Genomic DNA, 12,459 nt, shown 5'->3' on the forward strand with positions numbered 1-12,459 from the left:
AAGATATTACAAGGACTTGTTCTAAATCTATTTTGGCTCAGTACTCCCACAGCTTAAAAATGTTATTTTTTCCCATTCTTTTTTTTTTTTGAGAAGGAGTTTTTGCTCTTGTTGCCCAGGCTGGAGTGCAATGGCGCGATCTTGGCTCACCGCAACCTCTGCCTCCCGGGTTGAAGCGATTGTCCTGCCTCAGCCTCCTGAGTAGCTGGGATTACAGGCATGCACCACCAGACCTGGCTAATTTAGTATTTTTAGTAGAGATGGGGTTTCTCCATGTTGGTCAGGCTGGCCTTGAACTTCTGACCTCAGGTGATCCGCCCACCTTGGCTTCCCAAAGTGCTGGGATTACAGGTGTGAGCCACAGCACCCAGCTGATTTTTTCCCATTCTTTTCTTCATAATTGGGAAACACCTTTCAGGCCATCCCTACACCAGGACGGCATAGCTAAACGAAGCACGGAGGGCTATGGAATTCTAGTTACATTCCACTGTGATAAATCAGACATCTGCTATGAGAGGCGGTGAAGCAGACTGGCTAAGCTCATGGAATCAGACTTTGCTTCACTAACCTTGGGCAAATTATCCTGTCCCAGACTCGAGTTATTCACCTGTAAAATGGAAATGATGTAGCACTTTCTTCTAAGAAGAAGGTAAGGATTACACGACAAGTAAAGCTACACTTTTCAAACTTTGATATGTACCCAAATCACCTGGGGAGCCCATTAAAATGCAGATTCTGATCCAGTAAGTGGGGAGGGGCCTGATAATTGACATGTCTACAAGCTGGCATGAAAAACCACCACTGCCACCACCAAAACCCAGTGGGCCTAATACCCCACTTTCCCTGTCTCAGATGTTGGAGAAGGAAGTCTTCTCTCCTGTGTAGGCTACAGGAGAAATCCATAGACGCTCAAGTGGCTTCCAGGCATATTACATGGTTTCCATTTTTTGAAATATTAAGATATATTTTTCTAATTTTTTTTTTCGAGACAGAGTCTTGCTCTGTCACCCAGGCTGGAGTGCAGTGGCACGATCTTGGCTCACTGAAAACTCCGCCTCCTGGGTTCAAGCGATTCTTGTGCATCAGCCAACTGAGTAGCTGGGATCACAGGCGTGCACCACCACGCCTGGCTAATTTTTGTATTTTTAGTAGAGACAGGGTTTTATCATGTTGGCCAGGCTGGTCTTGAACTCCTGACCTCAAGTGATCTGCCTACCTCGGCCTCCCAAAATGCTGGGATTACAGGCATGAGCCACTGTGCCTGGCCTGATATTTTTCTAACTATATCTGTGAAGAAGAAGAAAGCAATCCAGAGTGGTATAAAAAATAATGTAAATATCACCTTCCCAATTTTGTTGCCCAGAGGCAGCAATAACTGAAATATATATATGTATATATCTATTCAGTTTATAGCTTTCTATTGCTATATAAGAAATTATCAAAAGTCTACCAACTCAATTGGGTCCCCTGCTTAGAGTCTCACAAGGCTGAAATCAAGGTGTTAGCCAGGCTCTCATTTGGAGGCTCTGGGAAAAAATCCACCTCCTGCCTCTTTGAGGTTGTTAATTATTTTGTGGTTATAGGATGAATGTTCTTGTTGGCTGGGGGTTGTTGTCAGCTCTTCGAGATCAGATCCTTTCCATGTGGTCCCTTCCATCGCTCCATTTTGAAGTCAGTAAGGTACACTGAGTCCTTTTTGCACTTTGAATTTCTGATGTTCCCTTTTGCTATGAGGTCTGCTACTAAGGGCTCATGGGTTTAGGTCAAGCTCACCTGATAATCTCCCTTGTGATGAACTCAAAGTCAACTGGTTAGCAATCTTGATTACATTGTAAAATCCATTTTCTAGTAATGTAACATAATTACAAGTATAACAGAGAACAGAGATCATGGGGACATCTTAGAATTCTGCCTTCCACATTTAAAATATGAAATTATGCAACACTTTTTCTTCTGAAAGCTTTTCGTCTCTTCCATGCTGTGCAGATGTTTCTCATTAAATATACATAAAACCTTTTTAATTGCCTTTTTAGTGCTGAATAATATTCTTTTGTAAAGGTCTATCATAATTTAACAATCTCTCTACTGATGTCTGTTTAAATTGCTTCCATTTTTAAATTATGAACGTTGCTGTCATATCAAGACTGCTGCTCTACCTTGACTAATTATCTCTTTAAGATAAATGCTAGTTGAGGAATTGCTGATCAAAGGGTGTACACATTTAAAATATTGGTATATATTTCCAATCTGCCCCCTGGAAAAGTTGCATCAACTTACATTCCTGTTAACAGTTTCTTAACACTTTGGGAGGCTGAGGCAAGTGGATCACCTGAGGTCAGGAGTTCGAGACCAGCCTGGCCAATATGGTGAAACCCCGTCTCTACTATCAATACAAAAATATTAGCCAGGTGTGTTGGTGGGCACCTGTAGTCCCAGCTACTCTGGAAGCTGAGGCAGGAGAATTACTTGAACCCGGGAGGTGGAGGTTGCAGTGAGCCGAGATCGCACCATTGCACTCCAGCCTGGGCAACAGGAGTGAAACTCCATCTCAAAAAAAAAACAAAACATCAAAAAAACAGTTTATTAAGATTGCTTGTTTCCCTACATACACTCTTGCCAACACTGGATTCTCACAATTCTTTTAATGTTCACTAACATAGAGATGAGGCATATCCTATTCTCTACTTACTATTTCTTGATTATTTGTGGGATTGAACATCTTTCCCTGCTTTTATTATCCACATATGTTGCTTCATTTGAGAACTGTCAGTCATTTTCTTTGTCAGGGTTCTTAGTTATAAGCAACAAAAACCAACTATAGTTAACCTAGGTAGAAACAGATTTTGCTGGAAGGATATGGGAGAGCTTAGAGAATCGATGAGAAGGTTGGAGAACCAGGCTTGGTAAAGGAGGGCTAGGCACTGGGAAATGCAATACATCTAATACCACAAGAGAGGACAGTTAATATGTTGTCATTGGTATCCTGTCTACAACCTACCACTGCTGTCTTGGAACACTCAACACTACTGTGAATAAGTTCTCACTTGCTCCCGTCTTTTCACCATTCCTCAAGACTCAGAGTCCCAGGTGGAGGCACTTGACTGACTGAGTCTATGTCAGATGTCTGAACGGGATAGTCAATGGATGAGTGGGGGATTCTCTGGCCCCTTTGGCTTCTATAGTAGAAAATGGGGGCTTACTTTCTACCAATACTTGCCTGCATTAGACGGCCATTCAGATGCTGGGTAGCCCACCCTCAAAAAGACAAATATCATTTCTTCATTTTTTCTATTGCAATTTTTTTTCTTATTTATTAGATATTTTTAATATTGGGGGTATTAATAGTCTGCAACATGTGTTGCATATATCTTTCCTTTTATTTTTTCTTTTTCAATCTTATTTATATACTGGATATTTTTGTGGCAAAGAAGCCTTTTAAGAAAAGTGACCCCAACCAGTTCTTTCCTACAGAATCCAGTAATCCACATGGCATTGTTTCTTAATCAAACAAACCCTGCTGTCCTAGCCACAGTAGATTAACCAAGGAGTCTGTTTATGGAGAAAGGTGGTTTGTTACACCAAGATTCTTTGCTTTTGCTTTTCTTTGTTTTCTACATAACAAGATTACAGCATACTGAATGATACAGAATTCACCCAAGTTCCTTCTTCTGGAAGTTAAAGACGTTAGTCAAACAGAAGAATATGGGTCATTCAAGCTTGGATTGCAGTCTTGAGTGTTGAGTTATTCCTCTGAAGCTCCTAGAAGCCTGCAGCCCAACACTGGAACACCTAGGACCTAGAGGAGGAGTGTGGCTAATGATGAATTTCTTATTTGAGCCCACATTCTTTTTTCTTTTTTTTTGAGATGGAATCTTGCTCTGTTGCCCGGGCTGGAATGCAATGGCACGATCTCGGCTTACTGCAACCTCCGCCTCCGGGATCAAGCAATTCTCCTGCCTCAGCCTCCCAAGTAGCTGGGATTACAGGCGTGAGCCACCACACCTGGCTAGTTTTTGTATTTTTAGTCGAGACAGGATTTTGCCATGTTGGCCAGAATGGTATCGAACTCTTGACCTCCAGAGATCAGCCTGCCCTGGCCTCCCAAAGTGCTGGGATTACAGGTGTAAGCCACGGTGACAGGCCTAAAACTAACATTTTATTTTTTAATTTAATTTTATTTTTTTGGAGATAGAGTCTTGCTCTGTCACCCAGGCTGGAGTGCAGTGGCATGACCTCGGCTCACTGCAACCTCCGCTTCCTGGGTTCAAGTGATTTTCATGCCTCAGCCTCTGAGTAGCTGGGACTACATGTGCCACCATGTCTGGCTAAGTTTTTGTATTTTCAGTAGAGATGGGGTTTTACTATGTTGGCCAGGCTGGACTCAAACTCTTGAGGTCAGGCAATCCACCCACCTTGACCTCCCAAAGTGCTGGGATTAGAGGTGAGAGCCACTGCACCCAGCAGATAACTTTTTTTTTTTTTGAGACGGAGTCTTACTCTGTTGCCCATGCTGGAGTGCAATGGCAAGATATCCTGAGCCGATATTCTTATGTAACTTTGTAATAAGCCTTCATAATATAAGTGATTTGTGAGTGTGGCTTTTCCCCCCTAGTATAGTTAAGAGCTTTTATCATTATAAACCTCTTACTGCTTAAACAATTTAAAAGAAATGGTGATGTAACATGGGTAATTCTTTCAAGTGTTTGCTCTTACAGATATTCCTTGATAGCCAGTTTTAGAATTTGTTAGACATTGCGTTTGTCAAAAAAAGTTCTTCCTCAATGCTTACCCTAGCATGCTCTGGCTTAACTAGTTCCCTCTTGAACCAAGGAATACTATGTTTTGCTAGAGTGACCCACAGTCCTTCTTCTTCACCAGACTCCCTTAGATGGGGTTAAAGTTCTTCCTTTTCCAGAAAGACTCAGTATGAGTATTTGCAAAGCTCTGAAGAGATGTAGTTGAACCTCATATATGCCTTAGATCAAGAAGTGAGTATGGTGCCAAAAGAAATTAATTTCCATATAAAGCCAGGAAGAAAGGTTGGGCTCATAAAGATAACCAGAACATGTTTCCAAAAGACTCAGTGGGCAAAGAAACCCATATTTACAAATCAATACTTTCCAAAGCTCATAGAGAAAAATAAATAATGTTTTCAGGGTAACATGGTTTTCTAAATGTACTACTTTCAATTAAGGCCTGTAAGTAGTCCCCAATGGTGCTTCACGAAATTCCTTTGTGTGTTCTCACCAGGTTTATTCTAAACTCCTAGTGCACAGTAACCTTTTTTTCTCTAGTTTTGTCAAGAGATACACATGGGTAGAAAATTCCCTCTTTGATATTTTTTCTACATTGGAAAGATCCACTTCTCAATAGTGGGTGAACAATTTGACCAGACCATTTTCCCACCAGTGAGTTGATCTCTAAGATACTAAGCTACAATTCCCTGTTGGGCACTCTATTGAAAAAATATGCAGAAAAGAGCCATCCATGTGTACCAAATAGACAAATTGAAAGTACATGTCCTCATCTAGGCTAAAATTTGATTGGCCTTTTTAGCAGATTGTTAGTGAAGATAGAGGCTCTTGGAGGTGGCAAGTGTGAATGTAAGTGTATGTACCTGTGCATGTGTGTAACATTTTTCATGCTATGCATTAATTTTGACTAATGATTTCTCGGAGTTGCTATAATCCCTTTCTCCCACTCACGGAAAATAACTGGACTCTGTTCATTTGACTATTTACTCTCAGAAAATGAGTCAGGGAGGGGTAGAGAAGTAACTCAGAAGGAATTTACAAAGTGGGCAGAAGAAATTTAATTTTAGCTTCGAAAATTTTAGCTTTGAAATTTAGCAGAACTCAACCCGCCCTGCACATCACAAGTTAAGAGGAGCAACTCTTGCCCCAGGTACAAGTGTGTTCCCTACTGGGGAAGCCATGTTAGGGATGTAATGAGCTAGAAGTTGCATATAGATGACAACAGGAAACAGCATATTTGATGGGTCTTTGGCTGGACTTTTCTGCAATCAGGTGAAGCCAAAATGATTCTCTAAGAACCAAGTATGGTATCACTCAAGCTTTGCTATCTTGTTCTCCTTTGCCTGTTTTCAGTACTTATTTTAATGTATGTTTCCTATAAAATTGTCCATCTATGTGGTTCTAGTTTTAGCATTTTATCTCCTCCTACTTGCTTATGGCTCAGCCCCAGCTCAGTCATTCCTTCTAATAGTGCCCTTATTATTCCTTCTTCCCCTGCTTCTTTTCCTACCTTGTTTCTCTCCTTGTTTCTTTCAAACAGGTCTAATCCTGAGCAAACTTGTGAAATTTCAACCTGTCAGCCCTTCAGACCTGAATTGTTTCCTCTCCTCAATGGTTCCACTTTTCTTTTCTTTCTTCTTCTTCTTTTTTTTTTTTTTTGACAGAGTCTTGCTCTGTCATCCAGGCTGGAGTGCAATGGCATGATCTTGGTTCACTGCAACCTCTGCCTCCCAAGTTCAAGTGATTCTCCTGCCTCAGCCTCCCAAGTAGCTGGGACTACAGGCACCCGTCACCACGCTGGCTAGTTTTTGTATTTTTAGTAGAGATGGAGGTTCACCATGTAGGCCAGGATGGTCTCAACCTCTTGACATTGAGATCCGCCGGCCTCGGCCTCCCGAAGTGCTGGGATTACAGGCGTGAGCCACCACGCCCGTCCTGGTTCCACTTTTCTATCCCTTAGTGTTATTGCTTTCTTTCCACCAAAATAAAACCTTTTTTTTTTTTTGCAATCTATTTGCTCCAAATATTATTTTCCTGGGACAAATTTCAGTTTAACAGCTACCCAAGTGTTTAGATAAAGGTATGAAACACTGAAGTGAAATCCCTGGACTGGCTAAAGTTCCGGAGACTTCCATGTGTCTTCCTCTATCCTTCATATAATTTCTTGAAACAGTGGGGATGTAGCTGTGAGAAGCACTTTAGTTCCTCTTTCAGGGCCTTGAAGAGGTCAGACCCTTCTGAGAGGAAGAAAGCATCTGGGTGACAAATATTGGAACTGGGTTTCGGGAAGCAACAAAGCTGGACCAGAAGTCCAGGCAGACCCAAAGAGCAGGGGAGGGCTGGCTGCTGGAACAAGGTGCCTTGTTTAGCTCTGCAGAGACCTGGGACCAAAGATAGAGTTCTCAAACTGGGGAAATGGCTTATAACAGCCAATATCTGCTGGGATTCAGGTGCCGTTGCCTAAAAAGTCAAGATTTAGGATGTTAATCCAGAAAATTGACAGATGTTGGCCAGGTACTGTGAATATCTCAGCAGTTTTGGGGCTGTGATCAGAGAAAGATTGTTCTGGCCACACTCAGTGCCCCTAGATATTCTACAGATACCCTAGCTCATAGTTCGCCTTCAAAACTCACCTCGACATCCCCATTCCAGAAAGCTGTCCCTGACCACTCAATCAGGAGTGCAGTGCCTATCCTAATGCGTCCATGGAAACTTGTCTGTGAGAGCTTCCATCAAACCGACTTGTGGTGGCCTTTTTATCTGACTTTCTTCCTAGATCATTCCAGCACAAGGGCACAGACTGTGCACTTACACTGTGTCCACTGTGCTGATCACATGCCTGGCCCAGCGTGGATACTTAGCAAATGTTTGCTGAATGAGTGAATACAAGAATGATGTCCTTTAGGATGGCAGACAAAGGAAAACTTGAGCCACTGCAACACTAGACCTCAGAAGAAAGTTCTGCTACCAAAACGGAAAAATGTGTTTTTGAACTCAAATTGTGTTTGATGGCCTTCTTACTATTAATGGAGATCAACAGGTTGTAGAGAGCTGCATTATCAGTAGATGGGAAGCAAAGGAGGAGCGAGAAGCTGACTCATTCCCTTGAGCTTGCAAAGTATACAATACACCCCAGACAATGGGGAGAAACATCCATCCGCCCATGGAAATCAGTGAAACAAAAGGGGCCTGGGTGGACACCCTTGCTTCCCTCCCGTGCCTACTCTGGCTCTCAATCTATTTGTTTTCACCAAGGCTCTATATTTTGGGACTTTTGTGTTGGGCTCCTCCCCATCTCTCTGGGATAATAAAACCAGAAAAGAAATACTGGGACAGGTTCTGGCATGTGCAATTCTGTGTGAGCCATGGGAGTGGATGGGGCATTTGGAAATTTATGGAAGTTGAATGCAAAGTATGAAGAGTTGGACTGGAAAAGGAGTAGGTTGGGACAGGTGACTTCTGCTTTTCTTTTAAGCCTTTCTATATTTGAATTTCTAAAATTACCTGCATAAATTACTTCCATAAAATAACAAAAATACTTATTTTTCAAGACAACTAAGAGTCAGATGGAGATAGCAGTCTTGGGGCATGCAGGGCAGTGGGAGGGAGTGAGTGAAGAGAGGCTGTTTTCATGTCTGGTTTGGCTCCTTTATGAGGCTACTGCTGCTCTGGCAAGATGAACTGGGCCCTGTGTGAAAGGAACACTTGCTCAGGATTCCTGGATTTAGTTCTTCACAGGCCAACCTCTCTCCACACTTCAGTCATTGCCCCAGTTTCTTAACTCTATTAGCTGCCAGTCCTGTGGCCCATTTACCTTCTTCATGATTTGTGCACTTAGTTTCTGATCTCAACTTCCTTTCTAGTGACATTTCATTTCTTGTCCTAGATCCTAAAGTATTCATGGTCAGTTTCTAAAGTAATAGTCTTCCTGACTTGACTTGTCCCCAGGTTACCTCTTCCAGATGCTTCCCTGAGAGGATGCTCTCTCCTGTTTTGTCTCAGTTCTTGCAGAAGTACCTATACAGCCAAAAGGACCTAGAAAAGGCCTGAAAAGGGTTGATAACAAGCAGTAAAACCAGGGCGGAACGCTTGCAGACATACCAACATTCCTTTCAAGACCTGACTCATCCTCTTCCTGGTTGGGTCATCTTGTATAAGTTACAGAGACTTTCTGAGGCTTGATTTCTTTATCTGCAAATGGAAGATACTAATAGTATTTATCCCTTAATAAAAGTTCACTATCTCTTTGGCTAGAGTCACAGAAAGAGAAAAAAGTTCAAAATCACCACTGTAGCAGAAGTGTAAAGTTATTTACGCTGTTTTCAAATACGCAACAACAACAAAGTATGGCTCCTTTTTTATATACTAGGTCTGTTGTCAGCAAAGATCATCCTCACTCAACCACCCCCAACCCAAAGGGTGACAAGTGCAGTTTTAGTCTCACCAGAATTTTATTCAATTTTATAAAGAAAATCATGACTTTAGGTAAATTCTTTATCTCTTTTAGATAAAGTGCTCAGTCTCTCAGGTTTCTGCTCACTCTGTTTCTCTTCAAGATGACATCTGAATGTGAGGCTTAAGCGACTTCAGCAGGACAGAGGACATTGGGAGTTCTTGGCATCCTTTTGACATTGTTGGTCTCTGCTGTGTCATGGCTGGTCCGCGCTGCTCCCTGGACTCATGACCACTGGGAGGGACTGGTGCAATTTTGGGGTGTTCTGCTGGCATATGAACTGAAGCCTGTAACTGGTGTAATGCATGGACCATTCTTATCCTTGCTGACATGACCTTACCTTGTTAGTGCTGCAGAGGTCCAGTGTGACTTTCCTAGCTCTTTTTTTTTGAGGCAGAGTCTCACTTCGTCGCACAGGCTGGAGTGCAGTGGTGCCATTTACTTTGACCTCCACTTTCTGGGTTCAAGCAATTCTCGTGTGTCAGCCTCCTAAGTAGCTGGGATTACAGGCATGTGCCACCATGCCTGGCTAATTTTTTTTTTTTTAATTTTTAATAGAGATGGGGTTTCACTATGTTGGCCAGGCTGGCCTCGAACTCCTGACCTCAAGTGGTCCACCCCAGTTGGCCTCTCAAAGTGCTGAGATTACAGGCATGAGTCACTGTGCTAACCTCTCCTAGCTCTTCAAACAGGAAGTCTGCCCTGCAGTGTAGACCGCAGTATGATTAGCAGTTGGTTCTGAGTCACTTGAGCCCTGATTTGTGGTATTTGCAGACTTTTGTGGTGCAAACATTTCTGCCTTGGCATTTCAAGGTACCAGTGTGGTGTCACCAAATGTGAAGTTGGAAAAAGATCTGCCTTACAGATACAATAGATACATATAAGCTCAAGAACATAGATAATATGTAAAATGTAGTCTAATAACTATGGAGTGACAATTTTGAATATTTCTTGTCTTTATTTTTAATAGAATTAATTTAAATGTAAGTTGAAATATCTTTGTTTTTAAGTATTGCTGTGTTTAACAACTGGCTTGCAAAGTTTCTTATAATTTAATAGGCAGGTCTCTGACCCGGTGAACCATCTCTGGCTCACCACTAACAGGTCATCTCATCTTTTTTGTCAAGACATCTTCTATCAAGCTCCTAATCAGGCCCTCAATCAAGTTCCATGTTCTCTTTGGCGGCGTATTGGAAGCGTGAAGTTTAGGCCCACACTTTGCTATCCACAAGCTGACAGAGAGGCAACAAGAGACACAGTATGCTCTCAGCTACTAAAAAGGAAGTGGGACAGAAGCTCCTCTGCCCATGCCATTAATCTTGACTCATATAACTCACTTCCCCCTGGTGGAGTCTGTCAAATAGTCAGAATGTCAAATTCCCCTAGACTCTTGAAGAAAACTCACTCAATGGCCAATTCACAAAAGCCCATTTCACCAAATGAGAAATTCATGAAATTTAGTTTCTTTTTGTTTTAGTTGACCAGTTTTCCTAATAGCATTTTAAAGAAGAATGTCAAATTTGGTCTCCTGCAGCAGTCAACTGTGTGGCCTTTTCTTTCTCCAGAGTTTCAGCCACTTTCTTCTCCACTTTGCAGGTTCCACAGCCTAACCTGTTTCTTAGAACTACTTAGTAGTCATAGGAGAGAATGCAATTGCTCTAGGTCCTCCATTGGATGCTCTTCATTCTTCATTTGGTTTTGTTTTGTTAAAGAAGACAAATCAAAATAGAGAATGGCTGTCAAAAATAACAAGCCCAGGGGAGTTCTGGAGATTAACATCAGCACCAAACATTGCTCACAGCACTGGTCTCTGTTTATAGAGCAATCTCTAGTCTGTTTACTCATCTAGGTGTTTTAAAATGTTGGGCTCAAGTATCTGGGCTTGCAGGTATTGAGAAACTACTGAAGGCACAAATAGAGGAATGACAAGTTTGGATCTGCTTTAGACACTGAACTATGGTAGTAATACGTGAAAAGGACCAAAAAAGGGAATTTGTAAGCAGAGAATCCAGTTAAGAATTCATTAGAACCCAGGTGAGAGATAACAGTCTGCACTCCAGTAATGGAAGTGATGGAATGATAAGAGCTTTTTCCTGGCTACCCTAACTTAGAGGACTCCCTGTTTACTCTCTAGCACTGTGCCCTATTTGTGGAAATTTATAAATTTATATTTAGATGCCTACTTATCATCTGCTCTCTCACTAGACTGTAAGCTCCCTGAAGCCAGGGTTTGGATGTTTCATTTCCCAAAGTATTCTCATCACCCAGCACAGTGTCTGGCACATAGCACACGCTCCACAGACACCTGGGAAATAAAGTGGAATTAAGAAGAAAGAAAAGATATTCATCAGTGGGAGCAAGTTAGTTATGTTTTATAGTAAGGGAAAGATGCTCATGGAGAAGGAGGAGTGAAAAGGCAGAGGAGAGACAATAAAAGACGGCACAGACTCCAGGATAAGCAGGAGTAAACAGGATAAGGACAAAAGCAGCAGAATTAGCTTTGCCTAGAAGGGCTCCTCTTCTTCTGTCATGGGAGGAACGGAAGAATGGATGTGTATGGAGGTTGATTGGATTTTAGGTTATAAAATTGATGGTTTATGTTTCCTGGAGGTGTGGTAGGCACAGTTATCAACTGAGAGAAAGAGAGAAAAGGAAGAGAAAGAGAAAGAGGAAGAGGAAAGAAAGGGAGGAGGAGGAGGAAAAGAGGAAGAGGAATTAAAAGTTAAGAGGGTGGTGAGAATTTAACAAAAATTACTTTAAGGAAGGGAATAAGTTGGTGACCAAAATACCTAAAAAGATTTCTCCAAAAGGGACCAGCTGAGGAATAATGTGACCAAATTAGCCTATCTCCAAATCTCATAGGTGAGTGACAGGGAAGTGGAACAAGAAGATGGGAGGGTTGACTGTGATGGAGATTTGCAGGAGGCCATCTCTCCTCCAGTTAATGTGTCTCACTGCAACAAAGGGGAAGATTTCAGGACTCCTGGGATGGGTTTAGATGAATCATTCATCTCTCCAGCTGTTAAGAGTTTTGTATATGTTAGATAGGACACAGACATCAAAAACTGTCCCTCAGCGGTCTGCTTCTCTGGAGAAGGTCTCACCAAGGGGTTGGAGCTTGACTTATCCTGCTGTGTCCTAGATCTGTAAGGTAACCCTGTCCTTTACTACAACTTTGTCTAGCAAGAGAGCAGTGTCTATCTTAAAAATCTTGCTGATATCCAAATATCTTTAGCACTTAGATGACTGCCT

The 12,459-nt window shown here is 42.0% G+C and overlaps 1 annotated feature.

Moving 5' to 3' along the window:
* Window positions 10,604-10,863: an enhancer, noted in NCBI's record as "active region_28458". NCBI's record gives its function as "activates an Ori minimal core promoter by ATAC-STARR-seq in GM12878 lymphoblastoid cells {active_cell/tissue: GM12878}" and the evidence as "EXISTENCE:reporter gene assay evidence [ECO:0000049][PMID:35858748]".

Source organism: Homo sapiens, chromosome 9 (assembly GCF_000001405.40).
Source record: "Homo sapiens chromosome 9, GRCh38.p14 Primary Assembly".
Lineage (NCBI taxonomy): Eukaryota > Metazoa > Chordata > Mammalia > Primates > Hominidae > Homo > Homo sapiens.